Source organism: Homo sapiens, chromosome 7 (genome assembly GCF_000001405.40).
Source record: "Homo sapiens chromosome 7, GRCh38.p14 Primary Assembly".
Taxonomy (NCBI): Eukaryota; Metazoa; Chordata; class Mammalia; order Primates; family Hominidae; genus Homo; species Homo sapiens.
The window spans coordinates 30,804,228-30,831,059 of record NC_000007.14 but is presented as its reverse complement, the minus strand read 5'-3'; the positions used below and the strand labels follow the sequence as shown (position 1 = coordinate 30,831,059).

The 26,832-nt window shown below is 42.9% G+C and overlaps 1 protein-coding gene and 1 long non-coding RNA gene across 2 annotated transcripts in view; both read right to left on the bottom strand.

Moving 5' to 3' along the window:
* INMT-MINDY4 (INMT-MINDY4 readthrough (NMD candidate)) overlaps positions 1-26,832 on the bottom strand; it is a 140,253-nt gene that overhangs the window by 61,328 nt on the left and 52,093 nt on the right. Inside the window, exon 8 of the long non-coding RNA NR_037598.1 lies at positions 2,323-2,381. This is a non-coding gene — a long non-coding RNA (INMT-MINDY4 readthrough (NMD candidate)). The remainder of the gene's footprint in view (positions 1-2,322; positions 2,382-26,832) is intronic.
* Positions 1-26,832, bottom strand: part of MINDY4 (MINDY lysine 48 deubiquitinase 4) — a 120,971-nt gene that overhangs the window by 61,328 nt on the left and 32,811 nt on the right. Inside the window, exon 6 of the mRNA NM_032222.3 lies at positions 2,323-2,381. Coding sequence (NP_115598.2) covers positions 2,323-2,381 — 59 coding nt within the window. The remainder of the gene's footprint in view (positions 1-2,322; positions 2,382-26,832) is intronic.

Below are 26,832 nucleotides of genomic sequence, written 5' to 3'. Positions count from 1 at the left end.
TCCAGATATAGCCCCCAAATGCGCAGCCCTAGGTATCTCACTAGCACAGAATCTCTGCCCAGTGACTTGCTGTCCAGCTCTTTAGCACAGCACTCAAAATCATCTTGCCCAGCCCAGTCTTCATTTCAGCCTCATCTCACACTGACCCCCACATCCTCCCCAACAGGGCCATTACCTCCAACCAATCTTTCTCATATATACACCAGGCATTTGCCCATGTGGCTCCTTCCACATCGCTATTTGACAAGACCTTGCCCATTCTTCAGAGTCCAGACTAAATACCTACACACTATGGAAGCTTCCAGAACTGATATGGTTTGGCTGTGTCCCCACCCAAATCTCATCTTGAATGGTAGTTCCCATCATCCCCACATGTCATAGGAGGGAACTGATGGGAGGTAATTGAATCATGGGGGCGGTTACCCTCATGCTATTCTTGTAATACTGAGTTCTCATGAGATTTGATGGTTTTATAAGGGACTTTTCCCCCTTTTGCTGGGGACTTCTCCTTCCTGCCACCATGTGAAGAAGGACATGTTTGCTTCCCCTTCTGCCACGATTGTAAGTTTCCTGAGGCCTCCCCAGCCATGCTGAACTGTGAGTCAATTAAACCTCTTTCCTTTAAAAATTACTCAGTTTCTGGTATGTCTTTATTAGCAGCATGAGAATACACTAATACAGAAACCCATCACAGAACCTGGCTTATTAAAGCACTTAAGCACTGCTGGGCATCTGCTTCATGTGTTGCTATGGGAAGATACCTCTCTTCCTTTGTCCTACCCACCCCACCCTCCAAAAAGGCAAGGCCACCTTTTATTCACCTTGGTCTGCCTTCTACCGAGCCTTGCATATGCGCTGGCAGGTAATTGCTGACAAGAGTTTACTGAATCGAACCAAAGTAAAATGAACTGGGGTGGAGGAGGAGTGTTGTTCCTCTAACCAAATTTGATTTTTGTTTCTGAACTGCTCAACCCCCAACCCCCTGGCCCCCACAAGACTTCTCCTTCCTTTCCTTTCATGAACTCTCTCCGTGACTGGGTTCCATGGCCTCCTATCCTTCACCTTCTTCTCCTTTCCTAAATCATTAGCTGAGCCATTAGCAAAGAGGGGTCGGCCTCCCTCCAGAAAACATGCACACACACACTTCAAACAGCTGCTTCTGAGAATTGCTAACAGCCTTCCTTCCAGTAGAAGTTCTCTGGGTTCTGAAGACCAGGAACCGCTTTTCTTGTGTCCAAACACAAGCAGCTTTCACTGCAAAATCTTAAAGTGCAGTGGTGCACAAAAAGGGTTTGGATGCCAGCACCTCCTGACTCCATGCTGTACTCTGCACAGCCATGCACAGACATCTACCCCATCTGGGGAGCTCTGAGGATCTGCTACTTCTAGGATCAGTTAGGCAGAGTAAACAAACCCCCACCTCCACCTCCGCAGCTCAGAGGCCTGCACCTTTCTTTCAATCTCATCAAAGCAAACTGTCAGACTACACCTCTCACACAAGAGAGTTCTAAATAGGGGCACTGCTTTCTTCCTTCAGTTTAAAAGGGAGAGTTCAAAAGGGAGATGAAGAGCATGTGAACAGCTCTTGTCTGCCCAAATGGTGCAACAGGTAAACTGTTGGCTCCAGAAAAGGAGCAAATGTTGGCAGCACTCAAGCCTCATCCTCTCACGGCCAGTCCTTGGTCTCAACATCCGCAGTCTCTAGCTGCTTCTGCAAAACCCTGCAAATGCATGTCTTTGGAGAGTAGGGAATTACAGAAAGAGAGAGAAAAAAAGTTTGCTTCAAAACTAAAGAGTGGAAGGAAATGTGCTCTATATTGATCTTAGAGAGCAGTTACACAGATGTACACAGAAGTGAAGATGCAGACCAGGGCACTTAAGGTTGTACACTTAATGCCTTCACTGTTTGTGTCTTATGCCTCCATAATACACTGATAAACTTTTAAAAAGGACGGGCCTTCCCAGCCAGAGCTATACTGATACTTTGAATGAGAACTGTTTTCTGGAGACCTTAGTTAACTTACTAAGAGGCCATTACTGAATGGCCCTAAAAAAATACCAAAAGCAGAAAGAGCTTCTCTGGCCCCACAGTGTAGATCCAGAAATGACTGGTCTTCTTACTAGGATGTCCCCAGGAGAGAAGGGCAAGCAGTAGAAGACATCAATCAGAGAGAGAGTAGTCTACTCTACTCACTTGACCAGCCCCACTCGCTGAGGTCAGGTGGAAGGAAAGGGGCCCCCGACCACCCATCTCCCAGACAGAGCCAACGAGGACCCCTTGGGCCCTGATGGGCACAGCACAGAGGCACCCGCTGCACCTACCGAGCCGCAGGGCACCCAGCTCACCATCCACCTTGTCAGACGGCAGCAACTGATTTTTCCTGGAAAATAGAAAATATCAATGTACCAGAGGAGACTGACAGAGAAATGTAAACGGCAGAGAAGACTGTTAAGAGCGATGGATAGGCATTCAGGAGACAAGTCTCTCTAGTCTTGGCCTTGCCTCTGTGTGCCTTGAATACTCCCCCTCTCTCAGCCACAGGTTCCACATGGGATGGGACCAAATAGCCCCCATGATGCTTGTCGATTCTGTGTTCTCACAAAGAGACTCATACACCAGCCAATACAGGATGGTCAGCTCTGTAGGTTGGCGTTTGCCAAGCACTGCATGTAGGCTATCTCGCCAATTTCACTGCAATACTTCTGGGAAACACACACACACACACACACACACACACACAAATCGAGTTCTTGTCATCATTGCCCAGAATTTGTTCATCTCATCTCTATGTTTTTTGTTTGTTTGTTTCCTCTCTCCTAGCTTTCTTGTAAAGCCATCAGCAGCTATCTATAAGAAACCTCTGACATGCACCAAAGTGTTTAAAGGAACCCTCCTGTATCTTCCTGTTACTTAAAACATTGCCCTGTGATTCTGATTTGTAAATTCAGGTATGTGCACACAGAGCTTTCTTAAAAGGGTCCACCTTTTAAGGGTGGACCCTTTGAGGGAGCATTTTCTAAAGCTCCCTTTAGATTTTTCTGTTCTCCAGCATACATTGACCTGAACTAAAGTAAAATCATTTCTAAACAGAATGTATTAAAAATAACAATATTACATCACTCTCTGAAAACCCATTTACTATGTTAAAAAGTGACAGCTCTTTTGAGTGTGGCATTGAAATATATTTTCCTTCAACATCCTTGCAGGGTAAGATATGATTGAAGTAACAATCGTAATCTTGCCCTGGTGCACTCCATTGAATTGGTTTCCTCCTGAAGATGTATGAAGGGGCGTGAATGGAAGAGCTAGAGGACGCACAGTACCAAATCTCTGAGTACACACTTCTTCAGACTCCAGGTTTCTTTCACTGGCGCTAGAACACAGAACTCCCTCACCCTCCCTCCCAGGCAGTCCTCATCCTCCATGTGTCCTCCTCAACTCAGTCAAGTCATTTGCCTTAATTCAAAACCACAAAACCCCTCTGCCCAACACCACCAGGATTCTACAGGCATTCCTGTGGGGACTGGTGGAAGAATGAGCTGGAAAGAGGAGTTAAGGCATAGAGGGGTGGTTAGAGGGATGTGGAAGGGGCAGTCGACACTGAGTTTGTGTCAGAGCACCCCCACCCATGAAGAACTGCACTTCCATCAGAAGCCTCTTCCAGCCACACTTCTCCCACCTCCGCCTGCTCTGCAACAAAGGGCTGAGGACCTCGGTTCTACCCTGCCTATCCCGTCTGTCACTGTTTCATCTGGAGATGAAGGCAAGGCATCCTCCCCTTGCTGTGCCTCAGTGTCCCTTTCTGAAAATCAAGGACTAAGGCATTGGTACTAAGCCTCTAAAATCCTCCTTGAACCATTTCAAGCAGGGAACAGCAGCAGCAAAGACATCTCTCCAACATCCTGCATCCAATAACATCTCTCTTGAACCCCCACCTCTGCTCTCTGCCTCTTCACCTCTCACCTAGATTATTTTAATAGGCTCCGAACTGGTTTCCCGACCCTTAGTGTCACCCACCCTTGGCCCCTGACATCTTTATATGGCTGCCAAAGTCATCTTCCTAGAAAGCAAATCTGACCACGACACTGAAGCCTGGCTGAAATTCTTCAAAGAGTCCCCATCATCACCATCAATAATAACAATAATCACATGTATTAAAATAACAGCAAGAATGCCAATACATTCCTAAAGGCTCCCTTGACCGTTCCACACACTGTGCTAAGTGCTTTGCAAGCCTCAAAAGTCATCTGCTTCTCAGAACAGGTTTATGAAGCACTTATTTCACTGAGCCTCAAAGATGTTTAGTAATTTTCCTAGGGTTACACAGCAAGTAACCCTATCCCGTGGCAGCACAGGAATTTAAACCCAGGCGATAACTCCAAAGACAAGGGCAATAACTACATTTACTGCTTCCTTATAAAAATAAAATCCAGGCCCATGAAGGTATCCTGCAAGGCTCTCCATGATCTGGCCACCTACTGCCCAGCCTCGTCTCACTCTGGGCCATCACACTCTGCCTGCATTTCCTCCAAGCTGAACGTCTCAGCTCATGTCTCTATATCTTTTCATAAGCTGCTCATTCCATCTAGAATACTCTGGCAAACAAACTCACATTAATCCTCTAAAGCCCAAGTGGAACATCAGCTTCTTCTCAGCTCCAAAGAACACATTCATTCATTTATTCACTCACTCACCCAGCACACATGTGAGGCTATCTGGCAGGCCTACCTCACTGCCCAGAAGAAACACATTACACAGATACGTAAAATGAACAGACGCTAAATGCAATGTCACGTGGTGTCATAGGCTGAATAACGGCCCTCAATTATATCCACATCCTAATCCCTGAATGTTACTTTACACGGCAAAAGAGATTCTGCAAATAAGAATAAGTGAAGGATCTTTAGACAAGGAAATTATCCTATATTACCTAAATGGGACCAATGTAATTATAAGAATCCTTATCATAAAGAGGTAAAGGGAGAAGAGAAGGCGATGTGAACATGGAAGCAGAGATTGGAGTGATTTACTTTGCAGACAGGAAGGAGCTACAAGCCAAGGAATCCAGGTGGGTACTAGAAGGTGAAAAGGGCAAGGAAACAAATTCTCCCCTGGATCCTCAAGAAACAACCAGCCCTTTCAACACCTTGACTTTAGCTCAGTGGAAATTCAGCCCTCCAGAACTATGAGATAATAAATTCATGTTGTTTGAAGCCACTTTGTGGTAATTTGTTATGGCAGCAATGGTAAACTAATACACATGGTAACAGTTATAAGCAAGGAAGAAGAAACGACTGCAGTATTCTCTTGGTCTCCTCTGGATCCCAGGTGTCCAGCATGTAGCCAGTGCTCCATAAATGGGTGCTCAATGCCAGATGATTCTCACAGAAGTTAGGTGGCTTACACAAGGTCACACAACTTAGAAGTGCCAGAGTCAGGATTCAAACCCAGGCTGCTGGCTTCAAATGCTCTACTTTGGTCTTGCCTCTATTTTCCACATCCTTCCCCTGCTCAGAAACTTCCATGGCTTCCTGCAGACCGCAGGACAAGGGCCAAATCTCCCAAGTGGTTCCCTTGGCTCCTGAGGGTAGGCAGGTGGCCATGAGCCCGCTGAGATGGTGGGAATGTTTCCACTGGGTAGGGTACAGCTTGGCCTCTCTCTCTGGTCATGGGACTTCCACCCAGAGGGCCATCCATCAGCACAAGAGCCCAGCTCAGATGCTTTGTGCCGGGTTCCCATAGATCTCATCACCAGAGGAGACTTCAATTATGCTTCCACATAGAGAATGTACTTATTGTTCCTTTCATGTGTCTCTTTGTGGCATAAGCTTTACAAAGTTTAAAAGGTCAGTTTAAAAGCATGTTCTTGCCTTTGAGTGAAAACTATTCTGAACAACAATGACAAAAAGATAAATCAAGGGACTCAAAACACTTTTTCAAAGTGTGATTGTGCTGATAACCCGGAGACATGTATCAAAGCATGCAACTAATAAATTCATGGGGGCCAAGTGGCAGAACTCGGCTCGACCCTCTGCTAAGGCCTCCACCTCCCACCACAGGTCCTCTCATGCCCCCCAGAGAGAGGCATGAGCTGGATTACTGCTGGTGTTCTGGGCTCCATGGGACCAGGACTCAATCTCTGAATAACTGAATCCTTGGCTTGGTGGAAAGAGCCACTCTCACATAATAACAGAGAAGAAGCAAGGTGTGGTGGCTCATGCCTATAGTCCCAGCATTCTGGGAGGTGGAGGCGGGATGATCACTTGAGGCCAGCCTGGGCAACATATCAAGACCCTCTCTCCACAAAAAATAAATAAATTAGTTGAGCGTGGTGTCACGCACCTGTAATCCCAGCTACTCAGGAGGCTGAAATGGGAGGATCGCTGAAGCCCAGGAGTTTAAGGCTGCAGTGAGCTATGATCACGCAAGCCACTACCTCTAAAAAATAAAAATAAAAATAAATAGCAAAAAAATAAAAACTGAGAAGAGGAGATGCTTATTCCTCTGTGTTTGTTACTAGATTCTTGGCTAAATTAGTTATGGGCTCTAAAAGAAAGGCATCTCATGAAAATAAAGATACTGATCACTTACTGCTATGGTTTGAATATCTGACCCCTCTAAAACTCATGTTGAAATTTAATCCCCAGTGTGGCCGTATTCAGAGGTGGGGCATTCAGGAGATGATTGAGTCATGAGTGCTTTGCCCTCATGAATGGATTAATGGGATCATAAATTAACAAGTTGTTATGGGAGTGGGATTGGTGGCTTTCTAAGAAGAGGAAGACAGATCTGAATTAGCACACTCAGCCTCCCCATCATGTGATGCCTTGAGCTACCTCAGCACTCTGCAGAGAGCCCCCACTAGCAAGAAGGCCCTCATTAGATGTGACCTCCCATCCTCGGACTTTCCAACCTCCAGAACTGTAGGACACAAATTTTGTTTCCTTACAAACTACTCAGTTTCAGGTTTTCTGTTATATGCTACAGAAAACAGACTAAGACATTTGCTATATATTTGATGAAATATCAGAACCCAGTGTCAGTGGAGTTCAAATTGACCCCATTTATATGGCACAAGAATCTAGAATATAAGAAATTAACATAAATTTTTCCCAAGTCAGTGATACCCCAGCACACCTAACCAAAGCAATGTAAAATTATCTGGCAGAGCATTCCTACAAACCAGTTCAAACAAGATTCCCTAGAAGAGAGAAGTTTTTTGTTTTTTTATTTGTTTTTTTAAGTCCTACTAAAATATGCTCAAAACAAAAAACTCTTAAACACATGAGAAATGATGTACCATGTACCATGAGTGAAAGCCAACAGACACAGCAAATAGGACTCCCAAAGACTCAAGATGGAGCAAAAATCTCAGAGAGGCTGTAAATTAGAAAGATTAGAGAAACTTTTTAAAAACAGGAATGGAAATCATAAGAAAAGAGCTAGACATTATGAAAAAAGAATGGGCAGTTTTGAAGAGTAAATGCAGTCATTGAAATAATGGGCATATAACAATGGTGATAGATGATACATTAAATATTGAAAAAAATTCATGAGTCTGCTACTGAAGGAGGAAGGAATGAAGGGAAAGAAGGAAGAAGGTGGGGGGAGTGCAAGGAAAAGAGAAAGAAGATGGACAAGCTCTTTTCTACAGAATACCGTCAATGAATGTAGAAGGAATTATAAAATTAGAAAATCATCATTTTACACACTCCAATGTAATCATTTATATGGGAAAGGGTCATCAGTAGATGCCAATACAACTGGATGGAAGGTTTTTGAGGAACAGGATATTCATATGGTCTAAAACTTTCAGATTACTTATTAATTGCAAAAGGGAAAGTTATCTTTACAATGATAGACAGAGTGACATACACCACGTTAACAGAGTGATCCAACTTAGCATCATCAAAATAAAACAAACTGACATTAATGTGGTCCTGATGTGATGTAACAGGAAATATACAACATCACTTATGTATTGTCCCTGCCAAAAAAAAAATGCTTAATGTAAACCTAATAATGAAACAAACCAACAAATCTAGAATATGGGTGTTCTTAGGACAAGCCCATTCTCTTCATGAAAAACTAAAACTGAGATTAAAATAGACTAGAGGCTGGGCACAGTGGCTCACACCTGTAATCTCAGCCCTTTGGGAGGCCAAGGTGGGCCGACTGCTTGAGCCCAGAAGTCGGAGAACAGTCTGGGCAACATAGTGATACCCCATCCCTGCAAAAAAAAAAAAAATTCAAAAATTAGCCAAGTGTAGTGGTGCATGCCTGTAGTCCTAGCTGCTCGGGAGGCTTCAGGTGGGAGGATCACTGGAGCCTGGGAAGTCAAGACTGCAGTGAGCTGTGGTCATGCCACTGCACTCCAGCCTAGCAAGAGTGAAACCTTGTCTGAAAATAAATAAATAAATAAATAAATAAAATAGACAGGCACGTCAACCAAGACAATGGGCAAACCTCGAATGGATCCTGGATTGAAAAAAAATAAAGCCTAAAAGAATATCTGGGGAACACTTGAGAAAGATTTGATTATGGGCTACATGTCAGATAATGTTATTGAATCAATATGAAATTTATTGGGCCAGGTACAGTAGTTCACACCTGTAATCCCAACACTTTAGGAGGCTGAGGCAGGAGGATCACTTGAGCCCAGGAGTTTGAGGCCAGCCTGGGCAACATGGCAAAACCCTGTCTCTACTAAAAATACAAAAATTACCCAGGCTTGGTGGTGTGAGCCTGTAGTCCCATCTACAGGACTGTGGGAGGATCCCTTGAATCTGGGAAACGGAGGTGACAGTGAGCCAAGATCACACCACTGCACTCCAGTCTGGGTGTCAGAGCAAGACTCTGTCTCAAAAGAAAAAAAAAAAAGAAAGAAAGAAAGAAAGAAATTTTGTGGGTACTGTGGTTGTGGAGGAAAATGTTCTTGCCCTTAGGAGACGCATGCTGAAATATTTACAAGTGAAATGTCAGGATATCTGTATTTTACTTTAGAATGAATCATCAGAAAAATACGTGTATATATAAATACGATTAATATATATTGGGGAGGAGGAGATGAGAGAAAGAGAGAGAAAGAACAAATGTGACAAAATCATACCAATTGCTGAATTTAAGTGAAAAGTCTACAGATATTCATTGTACTCTTCTTTCAAGCTTTTTACAGGTTTGAACTTCCTTAAAATTTGGAAAAATATTTTGGTAAACATAAACAGTAGATTAGTGAAGACATCATTAACTACTAAGAGCTATCAGATGACATTACTCAGAATATCACCATCAGGAGAGAGATAAACTGCACGAAGGAGCAAATAAATAAGAGAAATGGAGGAAAAACTTCTAAAGTCCAACATACATATAAAAGAAGCTCCAGAATGAAAGAATAAAGAGAATTTAGGAAGGGAAATACCTGAAAAGGTAATTGCTAAGAACTTTCCAGACATGCATTCTCATAGAAACATGAGATTCAAATGGACATGTAAAAATAAATGCATACCTAGACATGTCATTTTAAAACTACTGGAATACAAAAGACAATGAGAAAAATCTTAGACAAAAGGCAGATTACCTATAAACAGTTACAGCAGACTTCTCAATAGCAATGACAAGGGCATAAGACAATAAAATAACATCTTCAAAGCTGAAAGAAAAAAACTGTCAACTTTGAAATTCCCAACTAAAACATCACTAAAAGTAAGAACAAAATGAAGACATTTTCAGTCAAGGATTAAAACAGTTTAGTATCACAGACCTTCACTGAATGAACGATCAAGGACTCATATCAGGAAGAAAAGAAATCGGCAAGCATTTAGATAAACCTAAATGAGAACCGACAATAAAAACAATTAAAATAATAATAGCAACTAATTTAAGAGTAGTTAAAAACAAAGTGAAACTAAAACACCAGACATAATAAACAGGAGCATGGGAATGGGAAACAATCATCAGAGTTAAAGCTTCTTAAAATCTCACATTTTTTTGAGGGGGTAGAGGGATTGATTAAAGTCAATTAAGATTAAAATTTTAGAAGTAACCACTAGAACAATAAAAACATAGTGTATAATTTCTAAATGTGAAAAGAGTAGAAAAAAAATACATTTCAGTTAATTCACAAGTAAGTGCCACTGTGGAAAACAGTCTGGGAGTTCCTCAAAAAGTTAAAAATAGCATTATTCTGCAATTCCATTTTTCAGTATGCACCCCCAAAGAACTGAAAACAGGGACTCAAACAAATACATGTGCGTAAATGTTCACGGCAGCACTATTTACAATAACCAAAAGGTGGAGACAACCCAAATGTCAATCAACAAATGAGTAAATAAATAAAATGTTATATATCCATACAACGGAATATTATTCTGCCATCAAAAGGAATGAGGTACGGATACATGCTACAATATGGATGAACCTCAAAAACATTATGTTAAGTGAAAGAAGCCTGACACCGTAAGTTTATATATTATATGATTCCGCTTATGTGAAATATCACAGATCGGTAGTTGCCAGAGACTGGGGGTTGGGGGAGGAATGGAGAAAAACTGCTTAATGCATAAAGGATTTTCCTTTGAAGAAATGAAGATGTTCTAGAACTAGACAGAGGTGGTGGTTATACAACACTGTGAATGTACTAAATGCCACTGAATTGTTCACTTTCAAATGGTTAATTTAAAAAATAAGAAAGCAAGAAAAGAGGAGAAATTATATAAAGAAAAAATGTGGCAAAAGGGAAGTATGAAATATAACAGGACAAATAAATTCAAGTAAATCAGCAATTATACTAAAGGCAAAAAAAAAATTAAACTTGCCAGTTAAAAGAGACACAGATTGAATTTTACTTTTAAAAATTATTGGCCGGGCGCGGTGGCTCACGCCTGTAATCCCAGCACTTTGGGAGGCCGAGGCGGGCGGATCACGAGGTCAGGAGATCAAGACCATCCCGGCTAAAACGGTGAAACCCCGTCTCTACTAAAAATACAAAAAATTAGCCGGGCGTAGTGGCGGGCGCCTGTAGTCCCAGCTACTTGGGAGGCTGAGGCAGGAGAATGGCGTGAACCCAGGAGGCGGAGCTTGCAGTGAGCCGAGATCCCGCCACTGCACTCCAGCCTGGGCGACAGAGCGAGACTCCGTCTCAAAAAAAAAAAAAAAAAAAAAAAAAAATTATCTATATGCTGTTTTAAGACACATGATACAAAAGCTTAACAGTAAAGCATGGCAAAAATATACCACTTGTATACTAGCCATTTAAAAGGTGATGTAGCTAAATGCTATCAGATAAAAACAGATTTTGGGATAAAAAGTGTTATTAGTGATAAACTTACTTATTAGAGAATAATAAAAGGAAAAATTCAACAGAAAAATGTAGCCATCATGAAACTCTATGCTCCTAACAACAAAGCTTCAAAACATATTATCAAAAATTTGACAGAACTACGAGGAGAAACTCTTCAATCCGTGAGCATAATAGAAAATTTTAACACATCTCTCCCAGCAACTAACAGATCAAGCAGAAAAATAACATTAATAAGAATAAAGACTAAAATTTGAACACTAAATTAACATGTTTGATCCAAAACATCCAACTGTTAAATAATATATTCTTGTCAAGCACAAATGTATAAATATTGACCATACAGCAGTCCACATATTATGTCTCAAAAAATTCCAAACTGTGTTTCTGATTACAAAGAAATAAAAAAAGAATTCAATGATAAAGAGATAGCTCCTCTACACTCCCCCAAAATAACCCATGCATTAGAAAATTTTAAAGAAATAATGGCAGAAAATATTTCAAAATGGTTAACATTAAAAACACAACTTATAAAGTCTTACGGGAAGCAGTTAAAGTAATATGGAGAGGGCAGTGTATAGCATAAAGGCACCTATTATTGTGGAACAGTGGAAAGCAAAGTAAGCATCCCCCAGCAAAAGAGAACAACAGAATAGACCAAAAGAGAGTAGGAAGGAGGAAAAATAAATGCAAGATGAAAAAGTTAATGAAATAAAAAATAATAGATTCAACAACCTTCAAAACCGATTCTTTTAAAAGATTAGTAAAAAGGCAAACCTTTGGCAAGATTGATAAAGAGAAGAGAGTATAAATAAACAATACTAAGAGTGAAAAGGAAGGATAAAACTAAACATTATCAATAGGAGCTTTTCAGTAAGAAGAAACTAGTATGAATAAGTTCAAACCAATACATCTGAAAACTGACAGATGGGACCATTTTCTAGAAAAATCACAAAACTGACGAAAAAATGAACAGAAAATCTGAAACTACCTATAATCATTTTCTTAAATCATTAATTTAAAATTCACCCCCATTTCCAGCCCCAACATATACACGAAGAGTTTTACTGATGTGTTCCACCAAATATAAGAAAATCTCCCCAGTTTACATTCCCAAATAGAGTACACTCGGACTCTGGAACCACCCATCCCAGCTATGAATCTCACTGACACACTAAAAGTCTGTGCAGGAGAGGCAAGTGTCCAGCTTCTCTGGGCTTCAGATTCTTCATCTATTCTTTATTCTTCATCTAATGGGGCTAATAATAGTCTTCCCTCAAAAGACTGTTGTGAGAATTAAATGAGTTAATACATCAAGTACTAGGAATAGCACCCTACATACAGAAATTGCTACGTGTTAGTTGAGATAATGATGATTAATGAGGTTACCACAACCTTGATTCTAAAAATCTAATACCTGTAAACATAAAATACAAAAATATAAAATAAAATAGACAACTGTATCAGCCATGAGTTTGAGAGAAATTATGACCAAATAGAAATGCAAGACTATTTTAACAGTAGAAAATCTAATAATGTAATTCATATCAAGAGATTTAAAAAATACAAAATAATCTAAATAGATGCAGAAAAAGCACTTGATAAAAATAAATATCCATATATGTTTCTTTAAAAATAATTCTTAGCATGCTCAAGGGAAGGAAAGGGTTTTATTTGAACCCTAAAGAACATCCTACCTAACGCTGAGGCATTGGAAGCATCCCTGCTAGAGTCAGTAACAAGATGAGGATGTCCAGCATCCCACACATACCCAATATGCTGGTGATATACATACTAGAGGGCAAGCAACAAGGCGAGTGAAACTGAAAACCCCAGGACCAGAGTCCAGGTTTCCTGAATACAAATTCGGCACTCCTACCACTCTCCCACGTGAAACAGAACATCATTTTGCAATGAACAAGAGGGTTAGATTATAATGAATGAGAGAGTTGTTCAGACATGGACAGACATATAGGAAGTGGATGGACACGCACATGCTAGGTAAGACTGGCATCACCTGGCAACAGACGCATTGCCCCTAGTCTCAGCCTCCCTTTTGCCGGAGTTGTCTTTGAGGGGCTATAAGAACCACAAAACTTCGGGAACCCGGGCTTCCGCTTTTCAGACCCAGCCCCTCCCCACCTGCAAGCACTTCTTGGCCAGGTATGCACACAGCAAACACTGGAGGTGCCCACCAGGGACAGCGGTGCTGTACTCCTTCCTCGCTTCCATCAGTGACTCTGTATAACCCCCATCACTTCAACAGCTCTCATGAATGACTGAACTGCTGGAGAAGCAGTAAGTTTTTGTGAGTCAGATCCCTGAGGGCAAGTTGATATAAAAAGACTAAAAAAAATTTTTTTAATGTAGAATGCTAAAAAAAAAAAAAAAAAAAAGACAAACCCAAGTTCTCCATGGAAGAAAAGCTTTTTTCCTTTCACTTTCCTGCTCTCCTTTTTTCTTTGGTTTCCTGTAGCTCCTCAGCCAAGCTCCTCTAGGTATAGGTGGAGTACAGAATTGTGGTTAGAGCTGGATGGCACTTAGACGTCACCTGGCATGACCTTTGGTGTTACAGACAAGGAAACCAAGCTCCAGGGAGAGGATGGGAGTTCTTCAGTGTCTTCATCTCCTGGGAGCTCAGTGGGACTCTGAGCCTCCGGAGGGGCTTCCTCTACCTCCCTTGGCCACTGGATATTCACATGCATTTTTCAAATTAAGCCATAAAGAACATGAGGTCTCATGAAGGGTTGGGTTATCGAGAAGTCATCGCGTGCACTAACTATCACAATGTGTAGCAATTTTAACAGATCTTAAGTTTATACCCTGCAGTTGCCAGTTCTCAAACGGTTGACCTACAACATATAAAAGGAATATTTTTTTCTCTCTGTCTTTTCTTTCCTCTTAAGGATGTGGAAAACCTGACTAGAATTGCTGGCCTGACATTTCCTGTGAGAAAAGCTCTCTGCTTGGAATCCTGTGAAAACAATCTGCCTTAACAATTCAGCTCAAATAAATTATCTTCCTGAAACCAGTGACTCCCTTAATTGGGAACTGGGCTGCATACCCAAGTCTCTCTCATCTGGGTCCATGATGACAAAGGTGGACAAAGATAGGGATCGCCCAGTGAGGACAGATTTGGGAGGCAGGGGGGCGGGAGGGAGGGAGAAACGGATGGCCCCGCATCCTCCTGGAAAAGCCATCGGGCCCAGGCTGTTCGGCTGCAGAGAACACATGCTGTACTCCAGCCTCCTAAGCCATTGTTCTGTCGGGGTGATGGTTTCTCAGCTTAACTCTCTTTCCGTATGTGTCCCTCCCGACAGGCCTTGGCACACGTCCTTCACAAGAAGTATGCAGAGCCAGAGCAAGATCTGAAATCAGTTCCAACATTTCTCCTTCCTGTATCTCTGTTCCTTGAGTCAGGCTGGATTCTGGAACATTCCAGGAACGGAGAACAAATTTACCACAGTCTCAGACTCAGAAGTTTTCTTCAAGGGCATACAGTTTGCAAAACAAAACTGTACAAAGATGTGACCTTCCCTCATATTATTTCCCTATTCTTCCAATTTGGCATATGAGACCCGGGCACGCAATTGGTATTCAATGGATGCTCCCTCTGGAAGCTGAGGAGTACTCAGAGATCACCTAGATACAGCTCATCCAGCTGGAAGGGCTGAAAAGGCTAATCCAGACCATCTAGTCTAATCCTGCAGCCCTGCTGGAGGTGGGAGTCAAGGACAGAGCTTTCCCAAGGCCCCTGGTAAGTAGGCAGAAATAGAGTTTTAAGCTCCTGACTCTCATCTTGGTTTATTTTAATCTATCCCATGCTGGATATTTGAGGCACTGCCTTCATTTTCTTAAGACCCAAAAATGCATTAGGACTGATTGCTCTTCCCTTGGGGAGACACACACCAGGACTTTGTGGCCCTCCCAGTTCACACCTCCCTGCCCTTCTCTCAGGCTGGTTTCCTGGGCACGGCTGAAGTCAGCTCCAAAAGGTGACTGGTACAAGAGGCAGGAGTTGCTCAACAGGCAGTGAAAGGGTGGGTAGATGTGATGTTACCCCAGGGAGAGAAAAATATCTTCTCGAAGGAAAAGTGATCTCTATGAAGCATGTCTCTGGAACACACTCAAATTCATTGAGTAACCACTCTGGCCTGGGGTATGCAGTTCACCAAGCAAAATGTTGCTAGCCCATGATCTCCCTTCATCTTGGTCTCACCTCCACCCCTCTGCACACTAGCCCGTGGCTACTGGACCTGACCAAGCCCACCCATCATGAGATGCTGGATGAGACCAGTGACCAGGGCCAGTGCTAGAGATGTGATGGGGTGCCTGGCCCACAGCATGAGGTGTCCCAGGTGTGGGTGGGCCACTAAGGCTGCCTCTGATTAGGGCTTCCTGGCAGCCCAGCCTCCCTCCCCAGTGGTCTCTGAGGCTGCCTCCCAAGGATGGTGTAAGAGCCCAGGATGGAAAGGATTGCCTCTACAGCCTTGGCCCTGTCCCAGGGAGGTCTAAAGTCATCCTTGGCATGACAAAAGGGAAGGTTCTGACAGGCTGCCTGAAGGAGTGGCTGCCTGAAGGAGTTGCTGCCAGTTTCCACAGTGGACTGAAAAGCTGTGTGGAGATGTTTACTTAGCTGCTAGGAGAAGCCACTCTGGGGCACCAATCCTGCCCATGACTGTCCTTATAAAGACCAACCAACGTGTCAGGGAAGTAAGCTGCACCAACGAGAGGCTGAGTCCCACAAAACACTAAACTCACTTAGGCTCTGTTTGGTTAAATATGTCAAAGCATGGCTTAAAACAACTTCTAGGATGAAGTATTTTCCTTTCAAACTTATAAGGCATTCCCCTGCGTAAGCATTTATATAAGAGCTGTGAGCCACATGTTCGAAACAGCTCTGACTGGGTCCAAGGTTGACCTCATAGCCATTTGAAAAGAAAGATTTGGGTTCATTTACTTTTAGAAAGGTGAAGAGGCTTACACTTAAATAACACTTATTTTTGGAGCTCATGCCTTTCTCCAAGTGACCCTGGGCAAATATTCACCTTCCCTGGGCTTTGATTTACCTTTCTATGACCTTCTAAGGGTGTTAAATGTTCTACAGCTTTGCCCTTACAATAATAATTGCTTATCTAAGCAACACCTTCTACTTTTCCTAGCACTTGCTAAGCACGTTTTAAAATTTAATTCTCACGAAAGTCCTGTGTAGAAAGCAGCATAAGAACTTTTTAGCCCTATTTTTTACAAATGAAGACACTGAGGCTTGGAAAATTACCAACTGTCCAGGACACACAGGTCCATGGTGACGTGATAAAAATAAAAAACAATGCAGCGAAATGTTTCACAAAGCTTAATTTGTTCATTCTAAAGGTTGACATAATCTTGAAATAAGATTATGTCTACCTCAACTGGTAAAATTTTATGAAATTGTTTCAATGTCCTTACTTGGTCAGAAAAAAATGATAATAACCCGAATAGCATTTGATTTACCATGAAGCTAATGAAGCTTAAGCTTCAGGGACCTTTCTAAGAGGCCCTAGAAATGTGTGTTCACACGGTCTTGTATTTTTGGAAAATTTGCGAAAATTAAATACTTTCATATTCTTTCTCTTAAAGAGGTCACTCAGATTGTGTAAGTTTCAGGCCCACAATGTCTGACTCTGCTTCTGAACCTGACGCTGGTCCTCCAGTATTTTTTAAAGTAATTTATTTTACTGACTGCACCAAATGGATGACCCAAAGGTCTCCTTGGGCACAGAGACTGATTCTCTGTCCTGCCCTGGTTTGGCCAGAGCAAGATCAAGTCAAGACTGGTTCCTAGAGCTATGCTTCCTTCCACCCTACACTGCCCCATCATGAAAAAAGAACCTCCAGGAAATTTTGACCTACACCCAAAGCACAGAGAAATGACTGTTTTCTGGGCATTTTTAGAAGAAGGAGAAAGAAACATGTTGCTTTAAACCCAAGTTAGCTTTGCAAATTTTGAGCATTACACCACTCATACACATAAAACCAGAGAGCTGTGGAATTTCCATGAGGCAGCCAGCCCCAGTTCGGACAAGTACACCCTGGGCTAAAATTAGCTGTGTCCCTGAGCCGGCCTGCCAGCCCCCTGTGCCTCTCCTGGCAGTCCCCTGGAAATGGGTTGTGAGGGTCCTTGGGTAGCAAACCGTGGGTCCCATTCCTCCCTGCCCCCACTCTGGGGTTACGGCCTCTTGCCTCTGCTGAGGTTCCTCAGCTGTTCAGCACAGGTGGCTGTGAATGGAAAACCCAGCAGGTGAGGGCATTCACTGAGGGGCTGGACATGGCTGAGAATCCAGCCACTCAACGGTGGAAAGGCTGTACTGAAACTTTCCATGAACCCCACAGCACGGGAGCACAAGGCCCGCCTCACACAGAATTCAGGACCTGGGGATTGAACACTTTAACACAGGGCAAGTTTCCCTCCCAGATCCTTAACAGGTAACAATAATTCACATGAGTTTGTAGAAGTAGAAAAGAAAAAATCGAAGCAGCACAATCCCTTTTCTCCTGACGATGAATCTTCTACAGAGGCGGAATGAAGCCCTCTGACAGGGCTCTGGTTCTCTGGTTTTTAAGGATCTGAATCTAATGCAAGCATGAGGCTGAAAGTACCCCCTCCAAAATCCCGTGTCCTTGGTTCTCCAAGCTGCACTCTCCCACCATCGTCTCCCTCCCCAGTGGAACAGATGTGCAGGTACCTACAGACAGCAACCCCTTCTGGATGGTGTGGGCGAGAAATGGCCCAAGCAAGGCAGACGCCAGGAAGAGCGCTGACCAAAGGTATCTGGAGCTTTTTCCAGAACAAATGGAAAACCATCGGAAGCAGCTGGACCCATTCTGGGCAATCTCCTGTTGGAAATGTCATGTTGAGCCTCACGATGGGGGTGGAATCAAAGGTCCAGAAGTTTTGACAAAACAACCAGAAGGCTGGGTGAGGATTCCAGCCCCAGCTGGTTAGAGGGGGTAAGACTGGTCTGGAAAAGGGGGGTGGGAATCAGCTTCCCAGGGCTCAGCAGACCTACATGAAAAAGCCTGTTTTCTATGCACCTGGAAAACATGTGCAAGCTGTTGTTTCTGTAACCACTGATTCCTTGGAGTGCAAGAGCTTGCGGATGCCCATGTAACAAGAAATTCATCAGCTGCTCCCTCAGCGTGTTTTGGGCTAGCCTTGGGTTTTATACCATCACCTCACCCAGATTCCAGCATTGAATAACAAACCTGGTTCCACTTCTTTATGATCATTACCCAGAGATAAGAGATAGATCCTATTAGCTATTCATTTTTCCTGTCTATTCCATGTGTTTTTTAATTCTCTTTTTTATTTTGAAAAATGTTAGACTAACAGGAAAACTGAATGAAAAATAAAACACACACCAGCATATACCCTTCACTTATAGTGACAAATTGTTAACATTTGCCTTACTTTTTTTTTCTCTCAATGCATACATACATACCCCCCCCCCCTCAACACACATACACATTATTTTTCTTTTTGCTGAACGATTTGAAAGCCAGTTGTGGACATCATGATATACCATCCCTAAATATTTCAGCCTGCATCTCCTTAGAATAAGGACGCTCTCCTGCCAAATCCACATGGGGTTTGTTTGTACGACAACACTTTTTAAAACCAGGATCCTTGTCTAAGTTCTCCCAGATCCTTGCATCTGGTACACGTGCCCTTTTGTAGTTATTTTCTTTAAAAAGAAGAATAATAAATCAGTAGTAATGTCTTTATTAAACATTAAATGGACTGTAGCAGGACAAGCCACAGACAAAACCCCTCAGACATTGAGTTAAAGAAGGAAGGGCTTTATTCGGCCAGGAGCTTTGGCAAGACTCACGTCTCCAACAACCGAGCTCCCCAAGTGAGCAATTCCTGTCCCTTTTAAGGGCTCACAACTCTAAGGGAGTCCGCATGAGAGGGTCGTGATCGATTGAGCAAGCAAGGGGTATGTGACTGGGGGCTGCATATACCAGTAATTAGAACGGAACAGAACAGGACAGGGATTTTCACAGTGCTTTTCTATACAATGTCTGTAATCTATACATAACATAACTGATTAGGTCAGGGTTCGATCTTTAACTACCAGAGCCAGGGTGTGGCGCTGGGCTGTCTGCTTGTGGATTTCATTTCTGCCTTTTAGTTTTTACTTCTTCTTTCTTTGGAAGCAGAAATCGGGCATAAGACAATATGAGGGGTGGTCTCCTCCCTTCTTCCCCCACTTTGAGAATCTCACTCAATAGTGGGAGTTCTCACTTTCATTCTCACTACCCATGTCTTCTTGCAAGACAGATCGGTAGTGACTGATATAGTACACTTGTGCTGAAGCATTTTGGTGAATGAAGGTAGCGATGAAGCTTTTTATCATTTGAAGAAGTATAGGTAGCAAACAAGGGAGCTGTAAGCAGGTTTCTATTACTATTATAACTCCTATTACAAGAGTTTTAAATCTTTTTAGTGCAGCTGAGTCTTTCCACAGGAAGGGTGTCTGTCTTATAGTATAAGTTACTATAATACATGTAACACTGTTAACTGTTAACACGTTGACTTGGGTGTGATGAGTCCATCCCTTTTCCGCTGAATGAACAGCAGTCTCGGTGGTTAGCAGCACAAGGTAGGGTCCTTCCTAGGCTGGCTCAAGTTTCTTTTCTTTCCACCCTTCGATAAGAAGTGATCTTTAGGCTGGTGCTGGTTTACTGGAAATTCTAGGGGTGGTACCTGTGCTAAAATACTTTTAGTTTTGAGGGAAAGAAAAGTGGAAGATAAACCAAGTATATAATTTCTAAGAAACTGACTTTTTCTTTCAAATGTGGGGACATCAACAGAGGACTTTATAGTCTTTGGTGCCTTCTTACTGAGAAATTTCCTTTAGCACCTATTTTTATTAGTTTTTAGACCAAAGAAAGCCAAACACCATTTTATATTTAGTAATGCTTCTTATATGATTTTTATACCAGATAAGCTAAATTTCACCTTTATATTAGTGTGCTATTAATATTAAACTTAGTTTTAATAAAACTTTGTATACATATTTATTCCATTTTTAATGTTGGACCATAAGGTAAGATTTTTATAGACTCTTTTTAACCTTTTATAATCTTTGTTATAGAGCAGGTTAGTGCTTTAAGAAAAACCGGTCGTGTTTTTACTTTAATGTCCAGTTCACAGAAAAACTGGATGATACCCCTTTAACTGTAGCTAATATGTTTACACACAGAATTTTTTGTATATAATTATGTTTTAAAACTTGCTTAAACCTTCAAAAAAAGTTTTTTTAACCTTTTAATGTAGGTAAAAATTTACATTCTTATGCCTCCTTATAATCCTTTTACCAAAGGTATATTTTACTTTCCTTGTACACCTTGCACATAAACTTTTTTTTTTTTTTCAATAGTTTTACATTCAGGAGGCCTAGCTACTTTTAAATTATACAACATTTCTTGCATAAATTTTTTTATAACATTTTTCTCTTTCACGACTTTCGCAGACAACTCTTCGACATGCCTCAACTTTCTGACTTATTATAAACATTTCTTTTTTTTTTTTTTTTTTTTTTTGAAACAGAGTCTTGCTCTGTCGCCCAGGCTGGAGTGTGTGGCGCAATCTCGGCTCGCCACAACCTCCGCCTCCCAGGTTCAAGCGATTCTCCTGCCTCAGCCTCCTGAATAGCTGGGACTACAGGCAGGCACCACCATGACTGGCTAATTTTTGTATTTTTAGTAGAGGCAGGGTTTCACTATGTTGGCCAGGCTGGTCTCGAACTTCTGACCTCATGATCCACCCACCTCGGCCTCCCAAAGGGCTGGGATTACAGACGTGAGCCACTGCGCCCGGCCTAAACATTTCTTTCTTTAGACTACCAGTTAATTTATTTCAGGACAAGAATTTGCTATATAACACTCTTTTTACATAAATTCTGCCCCCCTTTTTTTTCCCCCTTTTTTTTTTCGAAGATGATAACCATTCTTTTCCAAAGCAAACTTCCTTTATGTCTGTGGACTAGATTGTCTAAGGCCACAAGATTAGAAGTTACTATAATACATGTTACACTGTTAACTTTTAGCAAACTTTACTTTTGTTGAAACACTTGTAAGTTTGGGATTTTAATTATCCTTTGCTATTAATAAGACCTTGTTTTGTCCAAATTAACTTAGAATTGTATAGATGGCTTTTTTTTTTTTCCTTCAATTACCTGGGAGGAACCATCGATGGTCCTGTCCTGAAGGGGTTCCTCCTAGGTCTGGTCGGGCCTTTGTATGGTAATTAAGATTTAGATCCCCTGTTAGGAAACCTGCTGGGTTAAGGGAATTTTCAGTGGTTAATATTAAATCATCCTTTTTTTTTTTTTTTTTTTTCCTTAGGATACTTCTGAACTGGTGAGGTGTGCTCACAATGAGGTTTCCTCTAACAGTTATTTTTTAAATTTTTTCTGTTAGCTAAGCAGTTGCCGCTACAGATTGAATGCATTTGGGCCATCCGCAGGTTACTGCAGGTTACTGGGTTAAGGAATTTTGATAGGAAGGCCTCAGTGCTTTCGGGATACACCCTTGTTTACACTGACAACAAAGTGGTACTGGAGTGTTATAGGGTTATGGAGAACACCTTCAATCATCAATTACAGGTTTTAAATTTACCTTGGCTTTTAAAGGAATAGGGTACACTGTTTTTTTTTCTTAACTACTTATATATCTCTCTCTTTCTTTCTTTCTCTCTTTGATTTTCTGTCTCTTTTTCTCTTTTTCCTTTTCCCATTTGTCTCTTTCTCTCTCTCTGCCTCTCTCTCTCTCTCTCTCTCTCTCCTTGACTCCCTCTTTGTCTCTCTGTCTCTTCCTCTTTCTCTCTCTGTTGGTCTTTCCTTGACTCTGCCAGCTGTTTATGCTGCTGTTGTCTCAGCCATTGTGCGGGGTGGGGAGGGCCGACGACGGGGCTCTAAAACCAGCTGTAACCAAGTGTCTATGTACAGGAACTGGTCTGGGTGCCCTGGCTTACAGGTTACCTTGTGCCATACCTTTGAAACAAGGGACCTGTCCAGGCTTCCTTCTGATGGCCAAACCACCTCTAATGCTGGCCAGTCTATCTTACACAAAGTTTTAAGTTTTCCTGGTGTCACAGTACTCCATAGTTTCCCTTAAATCCTTTCTTGAAATTTTTCAGCATAGTTCCTAGTGGGGTGGGCTTACTTTGTGCCTGACCCATGCTTCTTCAAGACAAAACACCACGCTCACACCACATGCACAACACAAAACAAAGAACGAGTAAAAAGGGCACCCACACACACACACTTTTACAGTTTACACCAAACCAGAATCAAAACCAAAATCAGAGTATCAAGAAATCCAAGCCATGTGAAAACCAAAACCAAAGTATCAAGCAATCCAAGTCAAGTCAAAAACAAAAACCAAAGTGCCGGTATAGGTATGCCATGGGTGATCAGGCCACGCTTCCACTCAAATGGAGTGGGCAAGTTCCAAAGACTAGTCTTACCAAGTTTCAGATGTCCGGACTCCAAGTGCCAATTCCTTCCTGGTGATCAGCCACCACATTGATCCTCCACGGGGGCCTGCCACGCACTGCTCTGGCAAGGCATTCCACCGGGGCAGTTGCCTACCCGGGAGCGCTCTCAGGATCTGCGTCGCTCAAGCTGGCCAGAGTCCCCCACAGGGCAGGCCTAAGCCGCCTAAGGGGCTGCCTTGACCGTCCATTAATCACCTTGCTTCCCAGTCAGGGAACCAAGAAATGTAGCAGGACAAGCCGCAGACAAAACCCCTCAGACACTGAGTTAAAGAAGGAAGGGCTTTATTTGGCCGGGAGCTTCAGCAAGACTCACATCTCCAACAACCGAGCTCCCCGAGTGAGCAATTCCTGTCCCTTTTAAGGGCGCACAATTCTAACAGAGTCCGCGTGAGAGGGTCGTGATCAACTGAGCAAGCAGGGGGTACGTGACTGCGGGCTGCATGCACCGGTAATTAGAACAGAACAGAACAGAACAGGACAGGGATTTTCATAGTGCTTTTCTATACAATGTCTGTAATGTATAGATAACATAACTGATTAGGTCAGGGGTCAATCTTTAACTACCAGGCCCAGGGTGTGGCACCAGGCTGTCTGCTTGTGGATTTCATTTCTGCCTTTTAGTTTTTACTTCTTCTTTCTTTGGAGGCAGAAATTGGGCATAAGACAACATGAGGGGTGGTCTCCTCCCTTAGACCAGACCGGCTTTTTTTTTTAAATCTAAAATGGATACTTTCAACTTCTCTTTTCTTCTTTTAATATACTCCTAGGAGTGTGTTGAATTTTAAAGATATCTGATCTTCCATGTCAAGGCTACAAAGTGACTTGAGATCTGTTAGGGAGCTGAGCAGGGGCAGAGGGAGACTATGGGTGTGAGAATTCTGTGTGTGGATGGGTTTCTTTGGCAGATCCAGGGGTTGATTCCTAGATACCTGCCAAAATGCCCTTATAAGATCATTTGCCCTCCATACAGCAGCTTCTGGAATACGGCCACTCAGTGTGCCACTGCTCCATGAGGAGGTGGACATGAAATAATGGACGTGGCTCTCAGCCTTGCCAAACAGCCTCTAATCCTCAGATGGTGGCAAAATACTTGGTCTCGGTTTCCATCTGGGACTTTTTCAGTTTACATGATTTCCTTTTCTTCTCATTCAAAAGAAATTTTATTTAAAGAAGAAAGGCTAAACAAAGTGACACTGGGACCAAAGGAAGCAATATCAGTTATAGAAATGCCACTGTCCTCTCTTAGACTTTCCATGCATCTTGACCCTTTAAACAATTGAGTGAAACCCTGGGCTCAAGGCAGAAGCAGGGACATGGAGGACCACAGCCACATGGGCCTAGGCAAGTGGAGCCAATTGTGCCAGCCCATTGTCCAGGCCTGACCTGGGAAAACCTTCTAGAAGAGAAGAGGGTAGGAAGACACATCTGCCTCACCCTCCAGAGCTTTCAAACAGACCCACCTTCCCCTAGCCTTCAATAAAAAAAGAAGGAAATGCCTCAAGGCAGGCAAATTCATTCAATCCACAAACGTTTCCAAAAGCCTGCTATATGCCTGACCCCAGGGGAAAGACATGCCCAAGGGCACAGGAGCCCTGGCCATGGCTCTCACAACTAACCTGAACATTTCTCTTTTGACCATCACAATCTTCCATAATCTGACTCCAACCTCACTTTCCATCCTTCTCACAAAATCCCCATCTATTCAGGAATATATCCATCTGTTTTTTTTTTTAAATGGGTGTTTTGGCTAACCAAATAGCTAGAGTGGGGGGAAGCTAATATTTATTAAAATAACCATTGTGGGCCAAATATTTGATATATTTTATTTTACTTATTCCTTATGACAATCCTAAAAAAGTTAAAAGAGGCTAAAAAGTTTTTGCCTTTGCCCTGTTAGTATATGGCAGAGCTAGGATTTGCACCCAAATCTGTTCAATTCTAAAGCGGGGCCCTTTCAACCTCACCATGCCAAGTTACTAAATATGTGAAAGATGGCGAGCCAAGTTTCAAAGTCTCAGAATACAATACAATGCAATGTTTCCCAAATAGCAGATCTCAATAACTGAACAAAGCTTTGCTTAATTGGAATAAATTTCAAGTAACTCAACAACTCTGCTGAGTAGAATTGACTCTTTCATTAGAGATTTAAAAGGCACTTCAGGAACTTGTAATGCCCTGGGCCCATCATTACAGACATCAATTATCGTTACTGAGCGTAACAGAAAATGACTCTGGTATTGTCAGCACTGTCCCCTTCCGGGCCCCACCCAAGCCCGTGCACCCTGCCTCTGTGAATGGTGAATTTCTTGTCTCTGCTGCTGGTGCAAACATGGCTCACAAACATGCACAAATCTCTCTTGTCCTGAATAAACGGCCCTATTCCTTAACCTTCTTCTTTCTTGAGCTGCCACCCTGTCCCTGTGTACCCTTCATCTCTAAACTTCTTTCACAAAGGCTCTCCACACATGTCCTCATCTCCTCCCATTCCTCAATACACGACAGTTGACTTTCTGCCCCGGAGCACTTTGCTCAAGGTGCTCTCTCCAAAGCCACCTGGGAACCGCCATCACCAGGCCCAGTGACCTCCCAACCTCTCCTAAGGGTCCGAAAATGCAACCTCCTGCCTCCAGGAGACTGGCTCTTCCCTCGCCTTGGGTGGGGCTCTGCTCTGACCACTCCGTTTTCTTGCCCTGCCCCACACCAAGCACGTGGTCTCCACTGCAAGATACTGACCTTGGCAATGTCCACCCTCCAAGGAATTCAGCTTTCAGCCCATGCCAGCTCCTCCCAACATTCCCTGGGATCTGCGTTTCTGCCCCACTCTTGACTGTGGAAACAAAAGCTCCACTGGACATATCCAGAAACAACTCATCTTCTTCCTGACTCAAGCAGCACCTCCCCTTCAGGTGCCCCTACTCCTGCTAACTGCCTGCCCAACCTCCCCTTCCTCCAGGCCCACAGTCCTCCTTGACTGCCTCGTCCTCTGGATTCTCCTCCTCAGCTCCCTGGCTCCTTACCCCTCTGGCACATCCAGGCCAGAGCCCACTTGCCTTCCCGGCAGGGGCCCTGCTGCCAGTCACCTTTCTCAGACCTGCTGCACCCCTAGACTCACCTTGCGGCACATCTTCCTGGTTAAAAAACAACAGAACCCAAAACACAAGAGAACTTTCTATCCCTCTCTATTGCCTAGAGAAGAAGGTCTGGCTCTTGGGGCACCTGTCGGGCCTGCAGTCTACCCTCTTCCCACCACTCACACATCCCCTGGGCTCCAGCTACACCAACTTGCCCACCTCTTTGCTCACAGCATCCCCTCGGCTTGGGATTCTTCCACTCTCTGAACTGCCAGACCTGCCCTCTATGTCCTTGCTAATGCCAGCTCTCAACAGTCCTCTTCCCCCAGGTCAGGGCCAAGGATAATGATTAAGACTAAGGCCCCAAAAGCCAGAAAACCTGCATGAACTCAGACTGCTTGGTCATTTTGTGCCTCAGTTTCCCCACTTGTAAATATGTAAAGTTGCTGTCAGGATTAAATGAAGTAATACATCCAAAGCTCCTATAAGAGGGCCAGTCAGATAGTGAGGACTCAACAGATATCGACAGCATAATTATCCCTGAAACTATCCAGACTCTATCTCTGTGGAACTCTGCCAGATCCCTTATCACACTCATCTTTTTCTTAATCCTGTAGTACATATTTGTCGGGATGTCTCAGCCTCTTGGGAGCAGGAACCTCATCTTCAGCATTTCTCTCCCCAACACCATTCGAACAAGCAAGAGGCACTCTATAAATGCTTTGTTGAATAAAATTAAATACCATGTATTTAGATTGAGATCAAAAACTGTTTACTTTATTGGGAAAAGGCCCCACTTCTGAGGGACCTATGACCACAAAACTGGCCTCAACAGGAAATGAAAGAAATCCCATGGCTTTACTAACTTCTTGTGGAATGAGTAGAGAAAACAAAGTAGAATTTTCTGGAATGAGGCACA